Source organism: Homo sapiens, chromosome 3, assembly GCF_000001405.40.
Source record: "Homo sapiens chromosome 3, GRCh38.p14 Primary Assembly".
Lineage (NCBI taxonomy): Eukaryota > Metazoa > Chordata > Mammalia > Primates > Hominidae > Homo > Homo sapiens.
Genome location: NC_000003.12, coordinates 12,742,041 through 12,763,302, shown reverse-complemented (window position 1 = coordinate 12,763,302; position 21,262 = coordinate 12,742,041). Strand labels below are relative to the sequence as shown.

The window sequence follows — 21,262 nt, the reverse complement described above, 5'->3', positions numbered from 1 at the left end:
AGGTGCAAAGAGGGAAACTAAGGCTCAGGGAGGGAAGTACCTGAACTTGGGAGTAGGAGGCAAACAGAAGGTAATGAACAGTTTTTTTGGAGCACCTACTATGTGCCAGGCATTTAAACCTTTTTTTTTTTTTTTTTTTTTTTGAGACAGAGTCTCACTCTGTCGCCCAGGCTGGAGTGCAGTGGCGCGATCTCGGCTCACTGCAAGCTCCGCCTCCCGGATTCACGCCATTCTCCTTCCTCAGCCTCCCGAGTAGCTGGGACTACGGGAGCCCGCCACCACGCCCGGCTAATTTTTTGTATTTTTAGTAGAGACGGGGGTTTCACTGTGTTAGCCAGGATGGTCTCCATCTCCTGACCTCGTGATCCACCTCAGCCTCCCAAAGTGCTGGGATTACAGGTGCGAGCCACCGCGCCCAGCTGCATTTAAACCTTTAAGTGGCAGGAAACATCACCCAGTCCAGTGGGGCTTATTTAAATACAGATTCTAGGTCCCACTCCTGGAGTTTCTGATTCAGGCCCGGGATGGGGTCTGAGAATTTGCATTTCTAAAAGGTTTCCAGGGGATGCTGTAGCAGCTGGTCCGGGGACTATATTTTGAAAATATCTAGTTCCACCTCCTTTCCTCTGCTTAGTGGTGGTCCTTAATTTTCTTCTTACATACCTCCAGAGACAGAGAACTCACTGTCTATTCAGTCAGCCTATTTCATGTCTAGATAGATCTTACTTTGAAGATATGAGCGTGTGTGCTTATGCTGAACTGAACACTCACTCTGTAGGCTCTCCCCTGTGGCCTCTGGACCACAGTGGTCTCATTAGAAAGGAGCAATTGGAGAAGACAGACTTATAATTAGACCCGGGGTCCCCCTCACCCTCACAGTACTCCAGCCTCTGCCAGTTCTACCTCTAAATCAGCACCATCCAATATAGAAGTTCTGTAGCTCCTGAAAACTTAAAATTTAAAAAAATTTTCAGTAACTATGTTAAAAATAGTAAAACGAAGCAGGTGACACTAATTTTAATAATATATCCAGACCAGGTGCTTTGGCTCATGCCTATAAATCCCAGCACTTTGGGAACCCAGGGCTGGAGAATCACTTGAGCCCAGGAGTTCAAGACCAGCCTGGGCAACACAGCAGACCCTTTCTCTACACAAAATTTTAAAAAGTAAAAGTTAACCGGGCATGGTGGTGCACACCTGTAGTCCCAGCTACTGGGGAGGCTGAGGTAGGAGGATCACTCGAGCCCATTTCAAGGTTACCATGAGCTATGATTGTACCACTGTACTCCAGCCTGGGCAAGAGAACAAGATCCTGTCTCTACAAAATAATAATAATATATCCAAATATCATTTTAATAGATAATCAATACAAAAATTATTAATGATCTATTATACATATATATGTTGTATATATATACATACATTTTTCATACCAAGTCTTTAAATCTAGTGTTATTTTACACTCACAGCACATTTCAATCCTGACCAGCCATGTGTCAAGGGCTCCATAACCGCATGTGGCTGGTGGCTACTGTTCGGACAGCAGAGCTGTAAACTTCCCACGACCCTGTCCCTAGTCCCCATCTCCCCTGCATGGCTCATGCTCACCCAGATGCTGGATCCTCACAGCTTCTCCACCAGTCCACAATGCAGCAGCCAAATCCTTATCTTTTTTCTTTTCTTTTTCTTTTTTTTTTGAGATGAGATCTCACTCTGTTGCCATGGTTGGAGTGCAGTGGTGTCATCTCTGCTCACTGAAACCTCCACCTCCCAGGCTCAAGTGATCCTCCCACCTCAGCCTCCCGAGTAGCTGGGACCACTGGCATGCACCACCACACCCAGCTAATTTTTTGTATTTTCAGTAGAGATGGAGTTTCACCATGTTGGCCAGGCCGGTCTTGAACTCCTGGACTCAAGTGATTCACCTGCCTCAGCCTCCCAAAGTGCTGGGATTATAGGCGTGAGCCACGGCTCCCAGGCAAAATTCTTATCTTAAACACAGGTTTGGTCATGTCCCTCTCAGGTGGCTCCCCATCCCTCTCAGGATGCCTGGCTGCTGAGGCCCTGCCTCTCTTGCTTCCTCCTCTCCCCTCTCCATCCCCAAGGCCCCCACTCTCTGGCTGTTCAGGATTATTTGCAGATCCTCCACACAATAGTGCTCCTCACCTCTAAGCCCTCACACATGGCTCCCTCTGCATGGAATATCCTTGGAACACTTCTTGGGCTAACCTTTCAGGTCACTCATTCATTCAACAAATGTATTGAGGGCCAGATGCAGTGGCTTACGCCTATAATCCAGAGCTTTAGGGGGCCAAGGCCGGAGGATCGCTTGAGGCTAGGAGTTCAAGACCAGCCTAACATAGCAAGATCTTGTCTCTACAAAAAATATAAAAATCAGCCAGGCGTGGGGGTGCATGCCTGTAGTCCCAGCTCCTCAGCAGGCTGAGGTGAGAGGATGGCTTGAGCCCAGGAGTTTGAGTTTGCAGTGAGTGATGATCGTGCCACTGCACTCCAGCTTGGGCAACAGAGCGAGACCCTGACTCAAAAAAAAAAAAAAATTAGTGAGCACCTACTGTCAGACATGATCCTAGGTCCTGTAGCAAAGCAATACGTAATGAGAAAATAGACATAACAAGAAAATATGCAGCACAGCAGATGGTGAGCAGTGAAGCAGGCAGAGGGAAAGCTGGTGTGGGGTTACTACTTTAAGCAGGATGGTCAGATAAGGCTTCATGGAGTAGGTGACTTGTGAGGAGAGAGCTGAAGTGAGCGGGGGGCCAGGTGGCTTTCTAGGGGGAGAGCACTCCAGGCAGAGGGAACAGCCAGGGCAAAGGCCCTGAGGAGGGAGCCCACCCAGGGGAACTGGAACATGTTCCAGTGTTACTGGAGCAGAGTGAGGGAGGAAGTCATGGGAACCAAGGTCAGAGAGGGCCAGAGGTGTGGGGAAGATCTCGCAGGGGCTTGTAAGACCTTGGGTTTTACCCTGAGTGCAGTGGGAGTGTGGCAGCTGCTGAGCGGGGAGGGACATGAGCTGCTTTGGGTTTGAACAGGACCCCCTGGCTGCCTGGCTGATGAGAATAGCCAGGGGCGAGGCGGGGAGCAGGGAGCCCAGTGTTGACACTGGCTGGATCAAGGTGACAGTTGAGGAGTGGAGAGAAGGGGCTGAATTCAGGCTATACTGAAGGCAGGACCAACAGGATTTTCCAGATGGGTCAGATACAGAGTGTGAGAAAGCAAAGTGTCAAGATCTGGGGGCTGAGCTTAGGGTATGGAAGACCCCTCTTCAGGAAGTCCTCCTGGGGAGCCCACAGCTCCTGGGCCTTGCCTGTTTCCCTCCAAGGCTGGGGGCTCCCGTGGTAGGACTTGTTTCCTGTCCTGCTGCCACAGTGCTGGATAAGTGAGAGGTGAGAGGTGGAGGCAAGCTGAGCTGGGGCCCTGCCCTCGGCTGTGTGAGGTCTGACACTGCTCCTCTCACCTCTCTAGGGACCTGTGTTTTCCCACTTGCACAAGGCGAGTGGGTGCTCTCCAAAAGTACTTCTAGCTGTAACCCAGTTTCCTCCCTAGGAGTGGGCACTGCCAGTCTCCTGAGCCCCCAGGCCCTCTCTCCTGCTCCCTGCCCAACCTCAGCCTCCTGGGAGCATTGGAATATCTTCCTTCCCCTCTGGGACGCGCAGGGCAGGTTGGGACACGTGGCTGGGGCCTGAGTCAGCCTCACCAATGTGGGTGGAGGGGGTACCTGGGACACGTCCCCTCCTTCCTTCCCAGAGCTTGGTACAGCCAAGGGTGGCACAGCTGCCCCCATTTCACTGTCTCCTGGAGTCTGAAGGCATGGCTGTGGCCCTGAGGCAGGACCAGGCATGTAGCTGCCCCACCTGCCCCTCCGCAGTGTTGTAGGGAAGAGTCAAGTCAGACAGGAAGGCCTGGGGCTGATAGCACCAGCAGGAAGGAATGCCATCCCAGTGAGCGAGTGGGGCCCAGGGACAACGTCACGGTAGTCCCGCCCTCCTTGCTGTCACAGGTGCAGCCTGTCCTCTCCTTCCCCTGACCAGCCCAGCATCCACATAGTCTACACAGAGCTCCCCTTGCTGCCCAGACAAGCTGAAGGACCACAGGTAATGGGACATGGGGCTGGGTGAGCAGTGGGGTGGAGTGTCAGCTTTTAAGGAAATCGGGAGAAAGAGTGTCCTCAATAGGCTTGATATTGTGTGGTTCCTTGGTGGACCTGGGTTTGAGTCCCAGCTCTGCATCTTCCTAGCTGTGTGAGAACCTGTCTCTACTTCAGGGGAGGATGACAAATATTCACCTTCCTGGGTTGTGTTGAGGTTTCCACCCGCCTATACTTGGCCATGGTAGGTGACCAGCTCCCAATTCTGTCACCAACTTGCTGCAAGACTTTCAGAAAAACCCTTGACCTTTCTGAGCCTCAGTTTCCCTACTTGTAAAATGAAGGGTCCAGCTAGATCTCTGAAGGCACCTCACACCCTCACTGTTATGGAACCTAACAGCTTAGGAGGGGAGGGGTGTTCCCGCAAATGTCTCAGCCTCTGCACCACCATCAGTGACTACAGGCAGCTGCCCCTCTCTCTGCCCTTCCTGGAGGAAGCCACCCTGGGCTGCCAGCCAGGTTTGGGAGACTTGGAAGGAAGAAGTCAGCCGTCCTCTGCCTCCAGCTCAAAGGCACCCCCGGGGAGGATATGCCAGAGAGCTGGGCCATGGGGAGGGGGCCCTGCTGCCTGTTGGGGGCTCAGGCACAGGTGGTGTGGCCCAAGGGGAGGGGGGCTTGGCAGACCTCTCAGAGCTCCCCCCACCCACCCCCGTAGGCTGTCATCCTTGTCCTAGAGCCACCTCTGCTCAGAGCACCCTGGCTTTTAGGCCTCAAGCCAACCTAGTTTCCTTTTAAGGGGAATGAGAATGATTATGGTCTTGTGCTTATTATTTTCTTCTGTTTTGTTAAGAAACTGCCCAGAAGAGTTCAGAGCCCTAACTAAGGAGTCAGGAGTGTGTGTTAGTGGGAGTGGTGGGGAGTGAACTCAAGCTAGTGTAGCCCTAAAGCACCAGGTTACTTTTGCTGGGAAATCCTCCTTGTGAAAAGGATCAGAGAGAGAGAGATCTCAAGTGCTGGCTGCACGTCAGGGACCATGCTGGGCCTGCCCTGCTCCCTGCCTTATTTCACTTTCACAACAATCCTGTGGGTGGAGTCTTTCCTTTTTCTTTCTTTCTTTTTTTTTTTTTTAAATAACAGATTTACTGAGATGTAATTCACTACTATAAAATTCACCCTTTAAAAGTGTATAATTCAGGGCCAGGCGCCATGGCTCACCTATGTAATCCCATTACTTTGGGAGGCTGAGGCGGGTGGATCACTTTGAGGTCAGGAGTTCGAGACCAGCCTGGCCAACATGGTAAAACCCCGTCTCTACTAAAAATACAAAAATTAGCCAGGCATGGTGATGCGCACCTGTAATTCCAGCTTTTCCATTTTTGGCTGTTATGTGTAATGCTGCTATAAACATTCATTACAAGTCTTTGTTCGGATATAGGTTGTCAATTCTCTTGCGAATATACTAGGGATTGGAATTGCTGGGTCATGTAGTAAATCTTTTTTAACCTTTTGAGGAGCTGACAAACTGTTTTCCAAAGTGACCACCATTTTACAATCTGACCAGCAATGTATGAGGGCTCCAGTTTCTTCGTACCCTCACCAATACTTGTTAGTGTCTGTATGTCTTATGGTAAGCCACCCTAGTGGGTGTGAAGGGGTATCCCATGGTGGTTTTGATTTGCACTTCCCTAATGACTAATGATGTGGAGCATCTTTTTTTTTTTTTTTTTTGAGACGGAGTTTCAGTCTTGTTGCCCAGGCTGGAGTGCAATGGTGCGATCTCAGCTCACCACAACCTCTGCCTCCTGGGTTCAAGTGATTCTCCTGCCTCAGCCTCCCGAGTAGCTGGGATTACAGGCACCTGCCACCATGCCCAGCTAATTTTGTATTTTTAGAAGAGATGGGGTTTCTCCATGTTGGCCAGCCTGGTCTCGAACTCCCGACCTCAGGTGATCCGCCCGCCTCAGCCTCCCAAAGTGCTGGGATTACAGACATGAGCCACCGCACCCAGTGATGTGAAGCATCTTTCTATGTGCTATTGACTATTTCTGTGTCTTCTTTCGAGAAATGTCTATTCGAATCCTCTGTCCGTTTTTAAACTGGATTATTTGTCACTGTATGTTGAGTTGTAGGCATGCCCATTTTTCCAACTAAGGATTCTGAAGCTCTGAGAATGGATGTGACACGCTCCAGGTCTCAGAGTCAGTGAGGGGTAGAGGCGGGAACTGAAGATCTAGGTCTGTCTGATGTTCAAGAGAACTGACAAGCTCTTGTGCTGGATGCTACCTTTTTGTTTCTTATTGTCAGTTGTGTGTGTGTATGTGTGTGTGTGAGAGAGAGAGTGTGTATATGTGTGGTGTGTGTTGTGAGAGACAGAGTGTGTGTGTGTGAGAGAGAGAGAAAGAGATAGAGAGAGAGAGAGGGAGGTGGGTAGAAACAGAGAGAGAGAAAGATGGGAAAGAAAGAAACAGAGACTGAGATTCCAGGCTGTGGGAGAAGGGACCCGCCTGGCTCTGTCTAGCTGGGCACCCACCTTGGTGCTTTGGTGTTTGACTCAACACTACACCAAGTTAGGACGATGCGAGCCAGGGAAAGAATTTTATGAGTTTTAGGTTTCTTCCTATTAATCTTCAAATGTGTCAGTGGAGCCTCAAAAAAGTTTTATGGAAGGCAAACTCCCCCTCTAGTTTTCCTTGTCCCTAAATCTGGAACAAATTATCTGATTAGACCCAAAAACCCCAAACCAGGACTAGCATCCCCTAGTATCTAGCTTGGTCTGAGGATCTAGAGCAGCACTCATCTAACTTTTTGATTGCACAATCTTCTCAAGAAGCATGCCGTTGGCACCCCCAGCATATACATATGCATAGATATGTACATGTATATACAAGTATGGTGGCCGTTAGCTGATGTCTCAGGGCCAGTGTACGCCCAGAATGAATTTCAATCACCAATGGTAGTGGGTGGAAATCCACCTTTCAAATTGTTTCTCATTATTATTTCAGGAACTCAAATACGATTGTATTTGAGTTTGAGTTTGTATTTGTTTCTCGTTATTATTGTGTATTTTGAGTTTGTGTTTATTTCTCATTATTTCAGGAACTCAAATACACAGGAAACAGTTGTTTCATGTGTCGGACTCCTTTCCATTGCTCTTTCCAATGTGGTAATGCAGCTAAACTAAGAGTAAGGACAAGTCTGTCCCACACTTTTCCTGTTGCTTGTTTGTACTTTCATGATTAGGGTTATCTCCATCCGCGGTTTCTTTGCAGAGACTCTTTGAAGTCACTTGTCAACAAGAAGGGGGCTGATTCAGTGAAAGCTGTTTCATTTGAGCCTCAAATTAACCCAACTGGGCTCCTGCACGCCACAATATATGGCAATAGTCTGGATGTAGAGAAAAGGAAGACGTGGCCACAATCAACCTGTCTGCCTTGTGGGGCTCCCCACTGGCCTCTGGGAGCCCCACTTAATAGACATGACATGTGGTGTCTGACATATGAGCCAAGGGTGCACATCAGGGCTAAACTATATACTATTAACTATTTTTAGTTAAAAACTACATAGAAATCGATAAATTAATATTTTCCTCCTGTACTTTGGAGAGAATTGCTTGAGACACTAATAGGTTCTGAGCTAAGAACATCTAAGCCAACCCTTGCCACTCCTCAACTTGCCACCTCACATGGCAACGTGCTCAGGACAACCCCAAAGCTGTTGTCATTTTTAGAATATTATTTTATATATTGAGGCCAGGTGCAGTGGCTCAGCACACTTTGGAAGGCCAGTCCCAACACTTTGGGAGGCTGAGGCAGGAGAATTGCTCAAGGTCAACAGTTCAAGGCTGCAGTGAGCCATGATTGCTCCAATGCACTTGAGCCTGGGTGACAAAGTGAGACCCTGTCTCTAGAAAAGAAGAAAGAAAGAAAGAAAGAAAGAAAGAAAGAAAGAAAGAAAGAAAGAAAGAGAGAGAGAGAGAGAGAGAGAAAGAAAGAAAGAAAGGAAGGAAGGAAGGAAGGAGAGAGAGAGAAAGAAAGAAAGAGAAAGAAAGAAAGAGAAGGAAAGAAAAGAAAAGAATAGAAAAGAAAAAAGAAAAAAGGAGGGAGGGAGGGAAGAGAGAGGAAAGAAAGAAGGAAAGAAGGAAGGAAAGGAAGAAAGAAAGGAGGGAGGGAGGGGGAAGGAGAGAGAGGAAGGAAGAGAAAGAAAGAGAAAAAGAAAAGGAAAGAAAAAAGAGAAAGAAAGAAAGAAGGAAAGAAAAGAAAAGAAGAAAATTCTTTTATATATTGAAGTTGGCAACTTCTCTGGTGACTTCCTCAAGGTACTGACCTTTCCTTCTGAGCTCACAGCCCTACCTGCTCCCCATGTCCTGGAGTCCTGGAGTAGTTCTGCAGAGACTTGGGGTCAGTGACTAGGCCCATCCATGTGGAGCTCATCCCTAGGTCAAGTGCCCTGCTCCCCAAGCCACTTCTCTTGGGTGTAGTCTCTGTACCTGCTACATCCTCTGGATTCTCTTTGTCTGTCCAGAACTTATTCTATGCAGGACCCAGGAGTAAACCCAGGATGGAGGATTGGGGATGGTGGAATGTGGGCCACCTTCTTCACCGTAGACTCTGTGCTTCTGTTAATGTCACCTAAGGATATGCTAGCTTTGCTCTGTAGCTATATCACCTTGTTGGCTTATATTGCCACTTTAACAAACATTGGTTGTGCACCTACTATGTGCTAGACATGCTAGACAACAACCTAGATGCTTGCACTATTTTCTTTCCTTCCAGATTATCTTTTTAAAATCTTAGATCTTTCTGTATAAACAGCCTCCACCCAGAGTCCAACCATCCTCTTTCTGTACAGCCATTATTTTGTTTTGTTGTTGTTGTTGTTGTTGTTTTGAGACGGAATCGTGCTCTGTCGCCCAGGCTGGAGTGCAGTGGTGCGGTCTCGGCTCACTGCCAGCTCCACCTCCCGGGTTCACGCCATTCTCCTTCCTCAGCCTCCCGAGTAGCTGGGACTACAGGTGCCCGCCACCATGCCCGGCTAATTTTTTGTATTTTTAGTAGAGACGGGGTTTCACCGTGTTAGCCAGGATGGTCTCGATCTCCTGACCTGATGTGATGAAAGAGCCAGCCTTGCCCCGTGTGGCTCCATGACCTGCGCAAATTCCTCTCCATTTCAGGGCCTCAGTTTCCTCTTCTGTAAAATACGACAGTAATCTCCAGTCTGCCTCCCTCCTGGTTGTGTGAGAGTCAAGAGAGCTGGGAGAGGAGAGTGCTGTGAGGCTGTGATGGCTCAGTGTGCTCTGTCAGCCCTCCTGCCCTGGGCCCAGGCCCTGTGACAGCAGAAGCTCAGGAAATCTGGGCTCACCTGAAGGGGAAATCCAGTTTAGCAGGACCCGTGGGTACAGAGGCCCTGGCACCACCCATGACTCAGCAGGGCTGGGCTTTTTGGAGAAAAGTGCCAGAAAGTCAGGCATTCCATTTCCTTGTAGGATCAGCCTTGGATGTGGGGGCCACCTGAGTTGGTGCTAGAGTCCTCTAACCAGGGGGCAGCTGGGGCATGAAGCTTCTCTGTTGGGGTAGGGGTCAGATTTGAGTCCATCTATAAGCTGGGAGACCTTGAACAAGTCTCTTCCTCTACCTGAGCCTCAGTCTCTCCCTATGTTAAATAAGACCTGTGTGGAGGCCGGGTGTGGTGGCTCATGCCTGTAACGTCAGCACTTCGGGAGACCAAGGCGGGAGGATCACTTGAACCCAGGAGTTCAAGAGCAGCCTGGGCAACATAGTGAGACCCTATCTCTACAAAAATATAAAAACTAAAAAATTAGCTAGGTGTGGTGGCAAATGCCTATAGTCCCAGCTACTCGGGAGGTTGAGGTGGGAAGATCACTGGAACCCAGGAGGTTGAAGCTGCAGAGCCGTGATCGTGCCACTGCACTCCAGCCTGGGTGATAGAGTGAGACCCTGTCTCAAAAAAAAAAAAAAAAAAAAAAAAAGAAAGAAAGAAAGAAAGAAAAAAGGCAAAAAAGAAAAATGTGTGGAGGAGGAATAGACAAGGACATTGAAAGGAGAAACAGAGCCACATCGGGTCTTCCCCCGGTGATGGTTCCATTCCTCCCCTTCAGTGTGCTAAAGACCTGCCCAGGGAAGTTCCCTTGGCTATGGGAACAATTACTCAAGGCTCCATCAGTAGCTAAATATAAGCCAAGTCAGCATATTTGCATAGCACTCTGATGACTGTTAGTGTGTCCTCTTTCCTGGTGCCAGTGTCAGGGTCCTGAGAAGAGGAGCCAGCATCACTCCTTTAGTCTCCCAGCATGGGCTTAGCAACCAACTACCCTTGCTTAACCACTTACTGTGTGGTCCTGGACAAGTTTCTTTCTTTCTTTCTTTCTTTTTTTTTTTGAGACAGAGTCTTGCCCTGTCGCCCAGGCTGGAGTGCAGTCGCGCGATCTCAATTCAGAGGCAGGTTGCCTCTGCCTCCGGGGTTCAAGTGATTCTCCTGCCTCAGCCTCCTGAGTAGCTGGGATTACAGGCCTGCAACCACCATGCCCAGCTAATTTTTGTATTTTTAGTAGAGACTGTGTTTCACCATGTTGGCCAGGATGGTCTCGATCTCCTGACCTTGTGATCCGCCCGCCTCAGCCTCCCAAAGTCCTGGGATTACAGGCATGAACCACCGCGCCCGGCCGGTCCTGGGCAAGTTTCTTATCCTCTCTGTGCCCCAATATTCTGACCTATAAAATGGGCACGGCCCTAGTGAGCCTTCATAGGAATAGATTAGTTAACACAAGTTAACTGTTAGAACCTTGCCTGGCAGATAGTAGGCACTTATAGCTGCTTGTTATCATCATTTTTCCTTTGTTCCCGGCTCTGTACAGGGTATGGGTGACACAGAAATGAATCAGCCTTAGTCCCTACTTAGGCTGCATTCGTGATCTAGTGAAGGAGACAAACCCTGGATGGTGGTACATGCTTGTAGTCCTACCTACTCAGAAGGTTGAGGCAGGAGGATCACTTGAGTCCAGGAGTTCAAGGCTGCAGTGAGCTGTGATTGCACCACTGCACTTTAGCCTGGGTGATAGAGAGAGACCTTGTCAAAAAAACAAAAGCTAGGGATAGTGGAGGGAGTAAGTTTAGGGGAGTGGGGAATAGAGTTGATGGGTATTGTTTAGGCAATTGAAAGAGTACTTCATGAGGGAAGTGGGTTTTGACCTGTGCTTGGAAGGTCAGATGCAATTTTGACATTAGGAAAGAATGGACTAAGCCAAAAGTGCTGTGTGTGACCAGGACACAGAGCAGGATGGAGATGAGACTGGAAAAAGAGCTCATCACTTTGTAAACTTCGGTCTATCTGACATCAGCCAGCAGCTCTCTTTCCCCCACGTGGCTCTACAACTCTTCCTCCACTCTAGCTGAAATGCCTTCATTAGAGATGATCTCAGCCAATGAATATGTACTAGTCACCTGTTGCGTGCAGAGAACCCTGTTCAAAATAGAAATATGCCCTGGAGGCTTCTGCTGTCAGTCATTCCATCTCGATATCGATGCATTTTAATGGCTAGTGACTTCCTAATGCCTAGCTGAATTCTGCTCTGAGAAATGGGAAGTTTTATTCTAGAAAAGGGTAGGCCAGGCGCAGTGGCTCACGCCTGTAATCCCAGCACTTTGGGAGGTCAAGGCGGGCGGATCACAAGGTCAGGAGTTCGAGACCAGCCTGGCCAATATGGTGAAACCACGTCTCTACTAAAAATACAAAAATTAGCCAAGCATGGTGTGGCGCCTGTAATCCCAGCTACTCCGGAGGCTGAGGCAGAAGAATCACTTGAATCCGGGAGGCAGAGGTTGCAGTGAGCTGAGATCATGCCACTGCACTCCAGCCTGGGCGACAGAAGCGAGACTCCATCTCAAAAAACAGAAAAAAAAAACGGGTAATGGAGTCTGGGGCCTACGAGATGGGGGATGAGCAGGGATGGGACTGGACACTGAATGTCCAAGGGTAAGAGGAGGCCTGTAGAGAAGGAAACACGCATTCACAATGGCCCTGCTAAGGACTGTCCTGCCATTTTCACATACTATAAGGTAAGCACTATTACTGTCTCCGTTTTACAGATGAGAAACCCAGGGCACAGTGAAGGATTAAGTAACTAGCCCATGCTTCCATCGCTAGAAGAGGCAGAGGCAGGATTCCAACCCAGGCAATCTGGCTCTAAGACACAGGGGAGGAGGCTTCCTGCCAAGGTCTTGTGGTAGATTCTCTAGACCATTCTCAAATGGGGGGTGATGTTTGCCCCACAACAGGGGTCATTTGGCAATGTCTGGAGACATTTTTATTGTTATAGCTGAACAGGAAAGTGCTACTGGCATCTGGGAGGAGGCTGCTAAACATCTCACAATGTGTTACCCTGTCCCAAATGTCAGTCGTGTTGAGGCTGAGAAACATGGTTTAAATGAGTCAGAGGCTGGCCACAGTGGCACGTGCCTGTAGTCCCAGCTACTCAGGAGGCTGCGGTGGGAGGATTGCCTTAACCCAGGAGTTCAAGACTAGACTGGGTGATATAGCAAGACCTCTGTCTCAAATAAAGAAGTAAAAAATAAATGAATCAGAGACTAGTAAATCTACCTCCTCTCAGATTTAAGGTCTCAGCCTCAGAGCTGAGAGAAGAAGAAATAGGGCAAGGAATCAGAAGGAAGCCTGCACTTCCTGGCTCAGCTGCTATAACAGAGACTCATAGCACATGGGCTCCATTAAAAGAAACTTCTTTCCTGTGCACGTAGCTGTCAAGAGGTGGCAGGTGGCTCTGTGTGTGAGGCCGGCCGGGGCCCAGGATTCCCTTGCCTTTTTGCTTAGTCATTCCTGGATGTTGGCCATGTTTGTGGGATTGGAGTTGGTTCACCAACTTCAAATCTGCATTCCTGTCAAAATTGTACCTAGGCTGGACATGGTGGCTCACACTTGAATCCCAGCACTTTGGGAGGCCAAGGTAGGAGAATTGCTTGAGCCCAGGAGTTCAAGACCAGCCTGGGCAACATAGAGACACCCTGTTTCCACAAAAAAAAAAAAAGAAAAAGAAAAAGGATTGTGCCTGACTTTTCAGGCACAGATAAAAACTGATTTCCTTCATGAAGCCCCCTGCTAGTTGCCTAACCAATACCCACCACCCCAATTCCCACTCCCTTAACCCTCCTCCCTCCACTACCCCGGCCTTCTTGCTTGCCAACAGAACTACCATTTTTTTTGTTAATTATTTTTCTTATTCCTTTGAATGTTGAGTGTTTGTCTTTTTCTTATTTATTTGCCAAGCTCTTTGTATATTAAGATATTAACTAAGGTGATATTAACTACTGATTATTGTTATTCCTCCAGGAAAAGCCATGGAGACTTCAGCATCCTCCTCCCAGCCTCAGGACAACAGTCAAGTCCACAGAGAAACAGAAGATGTAGACTGTACGTTTGCCTTCTCTGACCCTCTGGGCAAAACCACATGGGAGGTGGAGTCCAAAAGTAGAAGGGACAGAAGAAGACCCTGCTCAACTCACGTTGCACAGGGCCTCAAATCACAGCTGAAATGGGGAAGTAGTGGTTTTACACACATGCACACACACATTTGCATGGTCCAATCTGTCCTCCTGTGCTGTCTAGCTATGGGGACCCTCAGCTGCTTGCCAAATCTCAAGAATTCTCTGGGGGCTTGGGCTGGCACTAGGGAGCACCCCTAGAAGGTGGAGAGGGTCCTGTGTGACCCCAGAATGGGGAATGGGAAGGTTTAGGACTTGATCACACCTCATCTTGGCTGTAATGTACAGAGGATCCTAAATTAGCAACTACTCTACAGAATCTAGCTGTCTCTGGGCAAGGCAGGGGGCTTAGAAACCCCTTTTCTGGCCGGGCGCGGCGGCTCACGCCTGTAATCCCAGCACTTTGGGAGGCCGAGGCGGGCAGATCAGAAGGTCAGGAGATCGAGACCATCCTGGCTAACACGGTGAAACCCCGTCTCTACTAAAAATACAAAAAATTAGCCGGGTGTGGCGGTGGGCGCCTGTAGTCCCAGCTACTCAGGAGGCTGAGGCAGGAGAATGGCATGAACCCGAGAGGCAGAGCTTGCAGTGAGCCGAGATAGCGTCACTGCAGTCCAGCCTGGGCAAAAGAGCAAGACTCCGTCTCAAAAAAAAAAGAAAGAAACCCCTTTTCTGAGTCCATATTCAGATAAATCTCTGTATTGAGCCTTCCGTGAGCCCCTGGCATCTCTGAGAGCCTTGGTCTCCTGCATGTTGCATTGGCTCTAGATATTTGGGAAGATAATCCAGTCCTTCCTGGCTCTCCAAATCCAAGTAGAACCCTGGAGAGGACTGGGTGGTCCCTGGGGTGGGAAGGGTGGGAAACGCTCATCCCCTGGCCTCTGTGTGCCTTGTAGATGGAGAGACAGATTTCCACAAGCAAGATGGGAAGGCTGGACTCTTTTCCCAAGAACAATATGAGAGAAACAAGTCTTCTTCCTCCTCCTCCTCTTCCTCCTCATCCTCCTCATCTTCTTCATCCTCCTCCTCCTCAGGTATAGCAGAGATTTAAATATATGTATATTATTCAAGAAAAAGATTTACATGGGGAAATAATCCCCCATACTTGAAGTCATTGAAGTACTTGAAACTCCAATACCGTTTCTCCACATTCTCTTCTAGAGCCGATCTGTCTACATGTGCTTCTACGTACACAGTTATCATTGATCGTATAGGCAATTTTGTCCTCCATTTAAAATTTTCCCCATCTTATCCTAAGCTTTTAGCCATGTTGTTCTGTAATATCGCTGTAGCTATTTTTAATGTTTACTGAACAGCCCCTCAAGTGGCTGCATCTCATGTAAAGTAACATTTAGGTTTATTAGAGGCACCCCAGTGCCATAGTCAAAGCGTGTGTTACAGGTTCAAATCCTGTCTCTACCACTAAGTAGCTACACGTCCTTGGGTAAACTGCTCAACCCCTGGCGCCTCAGTGCCCTCATCTAGAAGATGGGGATGAGAGCAATACATAATACCTCATGGGATTCTTGTGAGGATGAAATTCGTTATACAGGTAAAGTCTTAGCATGTAGCACATATTAAAAGCTCTAAAAGTAATTGTTGTGTTATGGTCTTCCCCTCCCAGGTTTATCATGCTCATGAGCATCCTTGTGCGAAAGCTTTTGCCTTTTGAATTTTTGTGCAAATCATTCCTAAGTATTGAGTCCTTGCAAGTACTTTAGTGGGTTTAGAGGAACAACATCCAATAGCATCTTTTTTTTTTTTTTTTTTTTTTTTTTGAGACAGAATCTTGCTCTGTTGCCCAGGCTAGAGTGCAGCGGCGTGATCTTGGCTCACTGCAACCTCCGCCTCCTGGGCTCAAGCGATTCTCCTGCCTCAGCCTCCCGAGTAGCTGGGATTACAGGCATCCACCACCATGCCTGGCCAAATTTTTGTATTTTTAGTAGAGATAGGGTTTCTTTATGTTGGCCAGGCTGGTCTTGAACTCCTGATCTCAGGTGATCTGCCCACCTCGGCCTCCCAAAGTGCTGGGATTATAGGGGTGAGCCACTGTGCCTGGCCTCCAATAACATCCTGATTACAAATAACCACATTATTCTCCAAGAAACAGCAGAATGTTCTTTCATTTGTATTCTTTTAATTCAAAATATGAGGCTGAATTTATAGTAGTAGCACCAGCAATATTTATTGAATGCTTACTCTGTGCTGGGAGCTGTTGTAAGCACTTGCATGTAATAACTCAATTCTCACAGCAACCCATAAAGGAAGGTACTATTATTATTCCCAGTTTACAAGTGAGAAAACTGAGGCACAGAGAGGGCAACTGACCTGCTCTAAGAGAGCTCAGTAACCAACTTGGGATTCCCCGGAGGTCTTTGTGGGATCCGGGAGGCTAATCCTCCTCAACCAGAGCTCCTGCACTATGATCTCTTTTATGGTGGGCTTGAGCTTAAGACTTTATTTAATGAAAGGTCTCTGGGCTGGAAGGAAAAAAAAAAAAAAGCTCTGGTCTTATGTCCTCATGTTGCAAATGCTGAGACCAAGGCCCAAAGCCACAAAATCAATGATCATTTCAGCAGGCGAGGGAGAGTGGTCGGTGGGTCCCGTGGGTTTGTTTGTAGCCAGTCTCCTCATGGCACTGGAAAGGAAGCCATCGCCCCATTTAAAAACAAAAAATGAGAAAACACACAAGCCCACCATGTATGAGGTTTGGCTCTGGAAGAAGAGCTTCCAGGTGCAGGCAGGGGGCTGTTTGTTGCCTCTCCTTTTGTTTCTCCTCCCTGGGCAGGAAGGAGTGTTCCGTCCTCTGGTTCTGGTTGTCTCTCAAGGAGTGCTGCTCCTCCGAAAATGTCCCCCATGTGACCATAATCCCTGGCACCCAGACACCCTGGAGTCTCCACCTCACACATAGGACTGGCTGAAATTAGCCAAATGGAGCGCTAAGAGAAAGCAGCGGGAGAAAGCCAGAGTCCTAGAAGCATAAAGACAGGCTGACATTCAGGATCCTGGTCCCTGATCCTACGGTGACTGACCTGCTGCCAGAACATAGCCGCCTGTTTTTCAGGCGCGGACAGTGACCCGCTACCCTAGAAGGCCCCGAGCCTGGGTGCCTCACCGCAGCCCTGCCGTCCTCACATGCAGGACCCTCACTCATAGTCACATCCACCATCTCTCTCCCACATACCTGTTTTAATCCAGTTAATTTTAGATGCAGTTTTGTTTTCAACTGTAAAAGATTACACACAGGTACACTGTAGAAAATATAGAGCATATAGCGAAACAGAAAATATGAGAAAACAAATCATCCTTTGCCCCATTACCCAGAGATAACCACCCAAAACATATTAGTGTATTCCTTACATTTATTTAACAAATATTTACTGAGCACCAAATATGTGCCAGTCTTTGTGATGGGTACTAGGGACTAGCAATGAACAGTGAATCTTTCTGCCGCGGTTATTATTATTATTTTTTAATTTATAAAGAAAAGAGGCTGGGCACAGTGGCTCACTCCTGCAATTCCAGCACTTTGGGAGGCCGAGGCGGGCAGATCACCTGAGGTCAGGAGTTCAAGACCAGCCTGGCCAACATGGTGAAACCTCGTCTCTAATAAAAATACAAAAATTAGCCAGGTGTGGTGGTGGGCACCTGTAATCCCAGCTACTCGGGAGGCTGAGGCAGGAGAATCACTTAAGCCGGGGAGGCAGAGGTAGCAGTGAGCTGAGATTGCACCGCTGCACTCCAACCTGGGTGACAGAGTGAGACTCCGTTTCAAAAAAAAAAAGAAAAAGCAAAAGAAAAAGAAAAGAGGTGTATTTAGCTCACAGTTCTGCAGTTTGGGTAACTTTTTAAATAACTAAATCAGAGAGCATATACAAAAATAGTCTTCATTTTAAACAGCATATATTCCATAATACCTTTTATTTAAAAACTTGTATTAGGCTGGGCACAGTGGCTCACGCCTGTAATTCCAGCACTTTGGGAGGCCAAGGTGAGTGGATCACTTGAGTCCAGGAGTTCGAGACCAGCGTGGGCAACATGGGGAAATCCCATCTCTACTAAAATACAAAAAATTAGCTGGGCATGGTGGCACATACCTATAATCCCAGCTACCCAGGAGGCTGGGGCGTGAAGATCACTTGAGCCTGGGAGGTCAAGGCTACAGTAAGCCCTGATTGTACCACTGCACTTCGGCCTTGATGACAGAGTGAGACCCTGTCTCCAAAAAAATTGTATTATGAATATATCACAGAGAAAGCTAAAACAATGTTCATTCACACATTGATGGCAGTTGTCTCTAGCTGATAAAATTTGGAGTAATTGCCAGGTGTGGTGATGCACACCTGTAATTCCAACACTTTGGGAGTCCAAGGTGGGTGGATCACCTGAGGTCAGGAATTCACGACCAGCCTCACTAACATGGTGAAACCTCGTCTCTAGTAAAAAAAAAAAAAAAAAAAAATTAGCCAGGTGTGGTGGTGCACGCCTGTAATCTGAGCTACTTAGGAGGCTGAGACAAGAGAATCGCTTGTGCCTGGGAGGTGGAGGTTGCAGTGAGCTGAGATCACGCCATTGCACTTCAGCCTGGGCAACAAGAGCAAAATTCCGTCTCAAAAAAAAATTGGAATAATTTTTACTTTATTTTCTATATTTCTTTATTTTGCAACATGCATTATCTTTTTAGCAATAAAAAGTCATTTTTTGCACTGATGAATATTTGTAAAATATAGAAAAGAAGAAAATAGAAGTCACCCAAAATCCTCTCTCCTGAGATAAACACCACCGTTGTTATTTTGTTGAGCTTCCCAATCCCTCTTCCTCCTTATCCAGTTGAGATCACAGATGCACTGATGTTTAAACACAATTAATTTGGTTTCCTGGAATTTTTTAAATTGACCCATGACTGACTGGGAGGTCCCCACGGTCCTGTCTTGGGATAAAGGAGTCTTCTGGACCTGGAGCCAGAAACTCCTAGACCTGAATTCTTGGAATGCTGACTGGCCAAAGAGCACAAATGACAACCATTTTCAAGTCTTGATCAAGCTCCTGTTCCTAGCTGGGCACCCTTGCAGGGTGGAGAACCCAGGTCATGTCCTTCAGGAGATGAAATGGTTGGAGAGAGGCACATCACAAGACCGCTGGCCCTCATGTCCACTGAGTCAAGCACAGACAGCTGGTGCTATAGAAACCCCAGCAGGGAAAGGCAAGACCAGTGTGAGCTGGGGCAGTTGGCAAAGGCTTTCTACAGGAGGTGTGACATCAGCTTAAGCTTCTCAATAACACAGACAAACAGGAAGGATATTCCAGGGGGGTGGGAGACACAGCAAACATCCAGAGCCAGCATGATGGGTGGGGAAACAGAGATGACACAGCCCCTGCACTTGGTGGGATGGAAGCCATCTCAGTACTATGATGCCTCATGGGACCTTATCTTATCTTCATGGAAGTCTTATGAAGTAGGCAAGGCAGAAGCAGAAATATTATGTAGACACGAAATCAACAGAAATATTAAGGGATTTGTGCAAAGTCACACCTAAAGGGAGTGGCAGGTCTCCTACCTCCAGTCCCCAAATCAGAGTTCCTCCCACCAAACCACACTCTTCTCATAAACTAAATTCTGAGAATGGCCACCAGAATGAACGCATTCCCAGCTTGTTCCAGGCTGAGCTTCTCCTACAGCTTGTGTTTGTTACCCGCAGAGAGCAATGATGAGGACCAGCAACCCAGAGCAACCGGAAAACATCGACGGAGCCTGGGGGCTGGATACCCCCACGGGAACGGCTCACCCGGTAGGAAATAGGCCTTACCATTTTTCTTTTGCCCACTCGCTCACCGTTGAGTTTCTCCGTGGGACTGAAGTGTGATGTTCTTCACAGCATTGTTTATGGCAGGATAAAATAGGAAATAGCCTGACAGCAGCAGAATAGATAAAGGATGCTACACCCTGCCCTGGTGACAGCTCTGCTCTTCATCTATCGCTGAACTGAAAAAGAAAGATGCCAAATCATAGAATCAATTTGATCTCGTTTATGCTTTATAAAAATTCAGACATATATGGTTATAATCAAGACTAGAAGGAAAAATGCTAAAATGTTAATAGTGGTTATCTCAGGATGGTGGAATTATAAGTGATTTTTATTTTCCCTTTTTTGAACTGTCCTATACTATAAATAATTTACAATGAGCATGTTTTATTTTTTATTTTATTTATTTATTTTTTGGAGACAGGGTTTCGCTCTTGTTGCCCAGGCTGGAGTGCAATGGCGTGATCTCAGCTCACCACAACCTCCACCTCTGGGGTTCAAGTGATTCTCCCGCTTCAGCCTCCCAAGTAGCTAGGATTACAGGCATGCGCCACCATGCCTGGCTAATTTTGTATTTTTAGTAGAGACAGGGTTTTACCATGTTGCCCAGGCCTGTCTCAAACACCTGGACTCAAGTGATCTACCCACCTTGGCCTCCCAAAGTGCTGGGATTACAGAGGTGAGCCACCGTGCCTGGCCGAGCATGTTTTACTTTTACAACCAGGAAATAATTTTTGCAAAAGAAATAAACAACAAATTTCATAAGAAGGAAAGAGCATGGGGAAAAGGGGTGAATTATTGTATAGTACAGAACCTGCCACACAGAAGGTGTTTAATAAATGCTGCCCATGAGGCTAGAGCTGAGCCCTGGGTTCTATTTCTGGATATAAACATGATTAGGAATGCAGGCTTTGGCAACAGACCTGGTAGAGTTGCCACTTGCTGGCTATATGACTTTGGGAAAATAATTTAACTATTTGAGCCTCAGTGTCCTTATCTGTATAATGGGTGGGGTAGGTACTAATACCTTCTTCATAGGATATCCGTGAGGAGCAAATGAGGTATTAAATATAAATCACTTAGTACAGTGTTGGTGCATGCTAGTGCCCAGTATATACCCACTATTAACCTTGAGCAAGGTCCAGGTCCTCTCAGGTCTTGAGTGCTTTCTGAGTGTGGTCACCTCTGGAAGTTCTGGGGGCATCAGAGAGGGCAAAGGGAAGGTACTTGTGCTGCCTTGCCTCCTGAAGACTGCCCCCCACCTCACCTCCAGCACAAGGACTGTGGTACTTCTTAAGCGTCGAAGCCATGGGAGAGGGAAGTGGCCTGGATCACTGTGTTTGGGGAGTGCTGACTAAGGGGTTTGTCTCCATCCAGGTCCTGGGCATGGGGAGCCTGACGTTTTGAAGGATGAGCTTCAACTCTATGGAGGTAATCAGTTGCCCAGTAGCTTTGGAGAAAACAATTAGACGAAGGAAAAGAGGGCTTTGCTGGGCAGAAACAAGGTCATGAGGGTGATTCATGAGCTGAAAAGTCCCAGCCAAATACAGGAGATGTGGCCAGTTGGGTGGTTATAACATTGGCAGGTGGGGAGGCGGGCATGAGATTGTCTTGGGGAAATCCTACATTTTCTGGGGTTTTTGTTTGTTTGTTTTGAGACGGAGTCTCACTCTGTCGCCCAGGCTGGAGTGCAGTGGTGTGATCTTGGCTCACTGCAACTTCCACCTCCCCAATTCAAGTGATTCTCCTGCCTCAGCCTCCCGAGTAGGTGGGACCACAGGCGCCCACCACCAGCCCAGCTAATTTTTTGTATTTTTAGTAGAGACAGGGTTTCACTATGTTGG

General features: G+C 47.7%; 1 protein-coding gene across 5 annotated transcripts in view, besides 5 other annotated features; it reads left to right on the top strand.

Moving 5' to 3' along the window:
- The window catches only part of TMEM40 (transmembrane protein 40), a 35,930-nt gene that overhangs the window by 6,155 nt on the left and 8,513 nt on the right, over positions 1–21,262 (top strand). The window contains exons 1-6 of one of the 5 annotated variants that reach the window (XM_011533937.3): positions 4,044–4,112; positions 7,202–7,288; positions 13,463–13,543; positions 14,511–14,648; positions 19,314–19,403; positions 20,796–20,849. In XM_011533937.3, the coding sequence (XP_011532239.1) occupies positions 13,471–13,543; positions 14,511–14,648; positions 19,314–19,403; positions 20,796–20,849 (355 nt within the window). In that variant the 5' untranslated portion in view covers positions 4,044–4,112; positions 7,202–7,288; positions 13,463–13,470. Of the gene's footprint in view, positions 1–4,043; positions 4,113–7,201; positions 7,289–13,462; positions 13,544–14,510; positions 14,649–19,313; positions 19,404–20,795; positions 20,850–21,262 lie in introns of those variants that run through there. The other 4 variants (NM_018306.4, NM_001284406.2, NM_001284407.2 and 1 more) reach the window with 4 other exon arrangements.
- Positions 3,342–3,431: a silencer, noted in NCBI's record as "silent region_14069". NCBI's record gives its function as "represses an Ori minimal core promoter by ATAC-STARR-seq in GM12878 lymphoblastoid cells {active_cell/tissue: GM12878}" and the evidence as "EXISTENCE:reporter gene assay evidence [ECO:0000049][PMID:35858748]".
- Positions 3,456–4,041: an enhancer, noted in NCBI's record as "H3K27ac-H3K4me1 hESC enhancer chr3:12800761-12801346 (GRCh37/hg19 assembly coordinates)". NCBI's record gives its function as "activates a minimal SCP1, AML or CMV promoter by ChIP-STARR-seq in primed H9 embryonic stem cells {active_cell/tissue: H9 hESC(primed)}" and the evidence as "EXISTENCE:reporter gene assay evidence [ECO:0000049][PMID:30033119]".
- Positions 4,997–5,176: an enhancer, noted in NCBI's record as "active region_19453". NCBI's record gives its function as "activates an Ori minimal core promoter by ATAC-STARR-seq in GM12878 lymphoblastoid cells {active_cell/tissue: GM12878}" and the evidence as "EXISTENCE:reporter gene assay evidence [ECO:0000049][PMID:35858748]".
- Positions 13,533–13,682: a silencer, noted in NCBI's record as "silent region_14068". NCBI's record gives its function as "represses an Ori minimal core promoter by ATAC-STARR-seq in GM12878 lymphoblastoid cells {active_cell/tissue: GM12878}" and the evidence as "EXISTENCE:reporter gene assay evidence [ECO:0000049][PMID:35858748]".
- Positions 13,953–14,002: an enhancer, noted in NCBI's record as "active region_19452". NCBI's record gives its function as "activates an Ori minimal core promoter by ATAC-STARR-seq in GM12878 lymphoblastoid cells {active_cell/tissue: GM12878}" and the evidence as "EXISTENCE:reporter gene assay evidence [ECO:0000049][PMID:35858748]".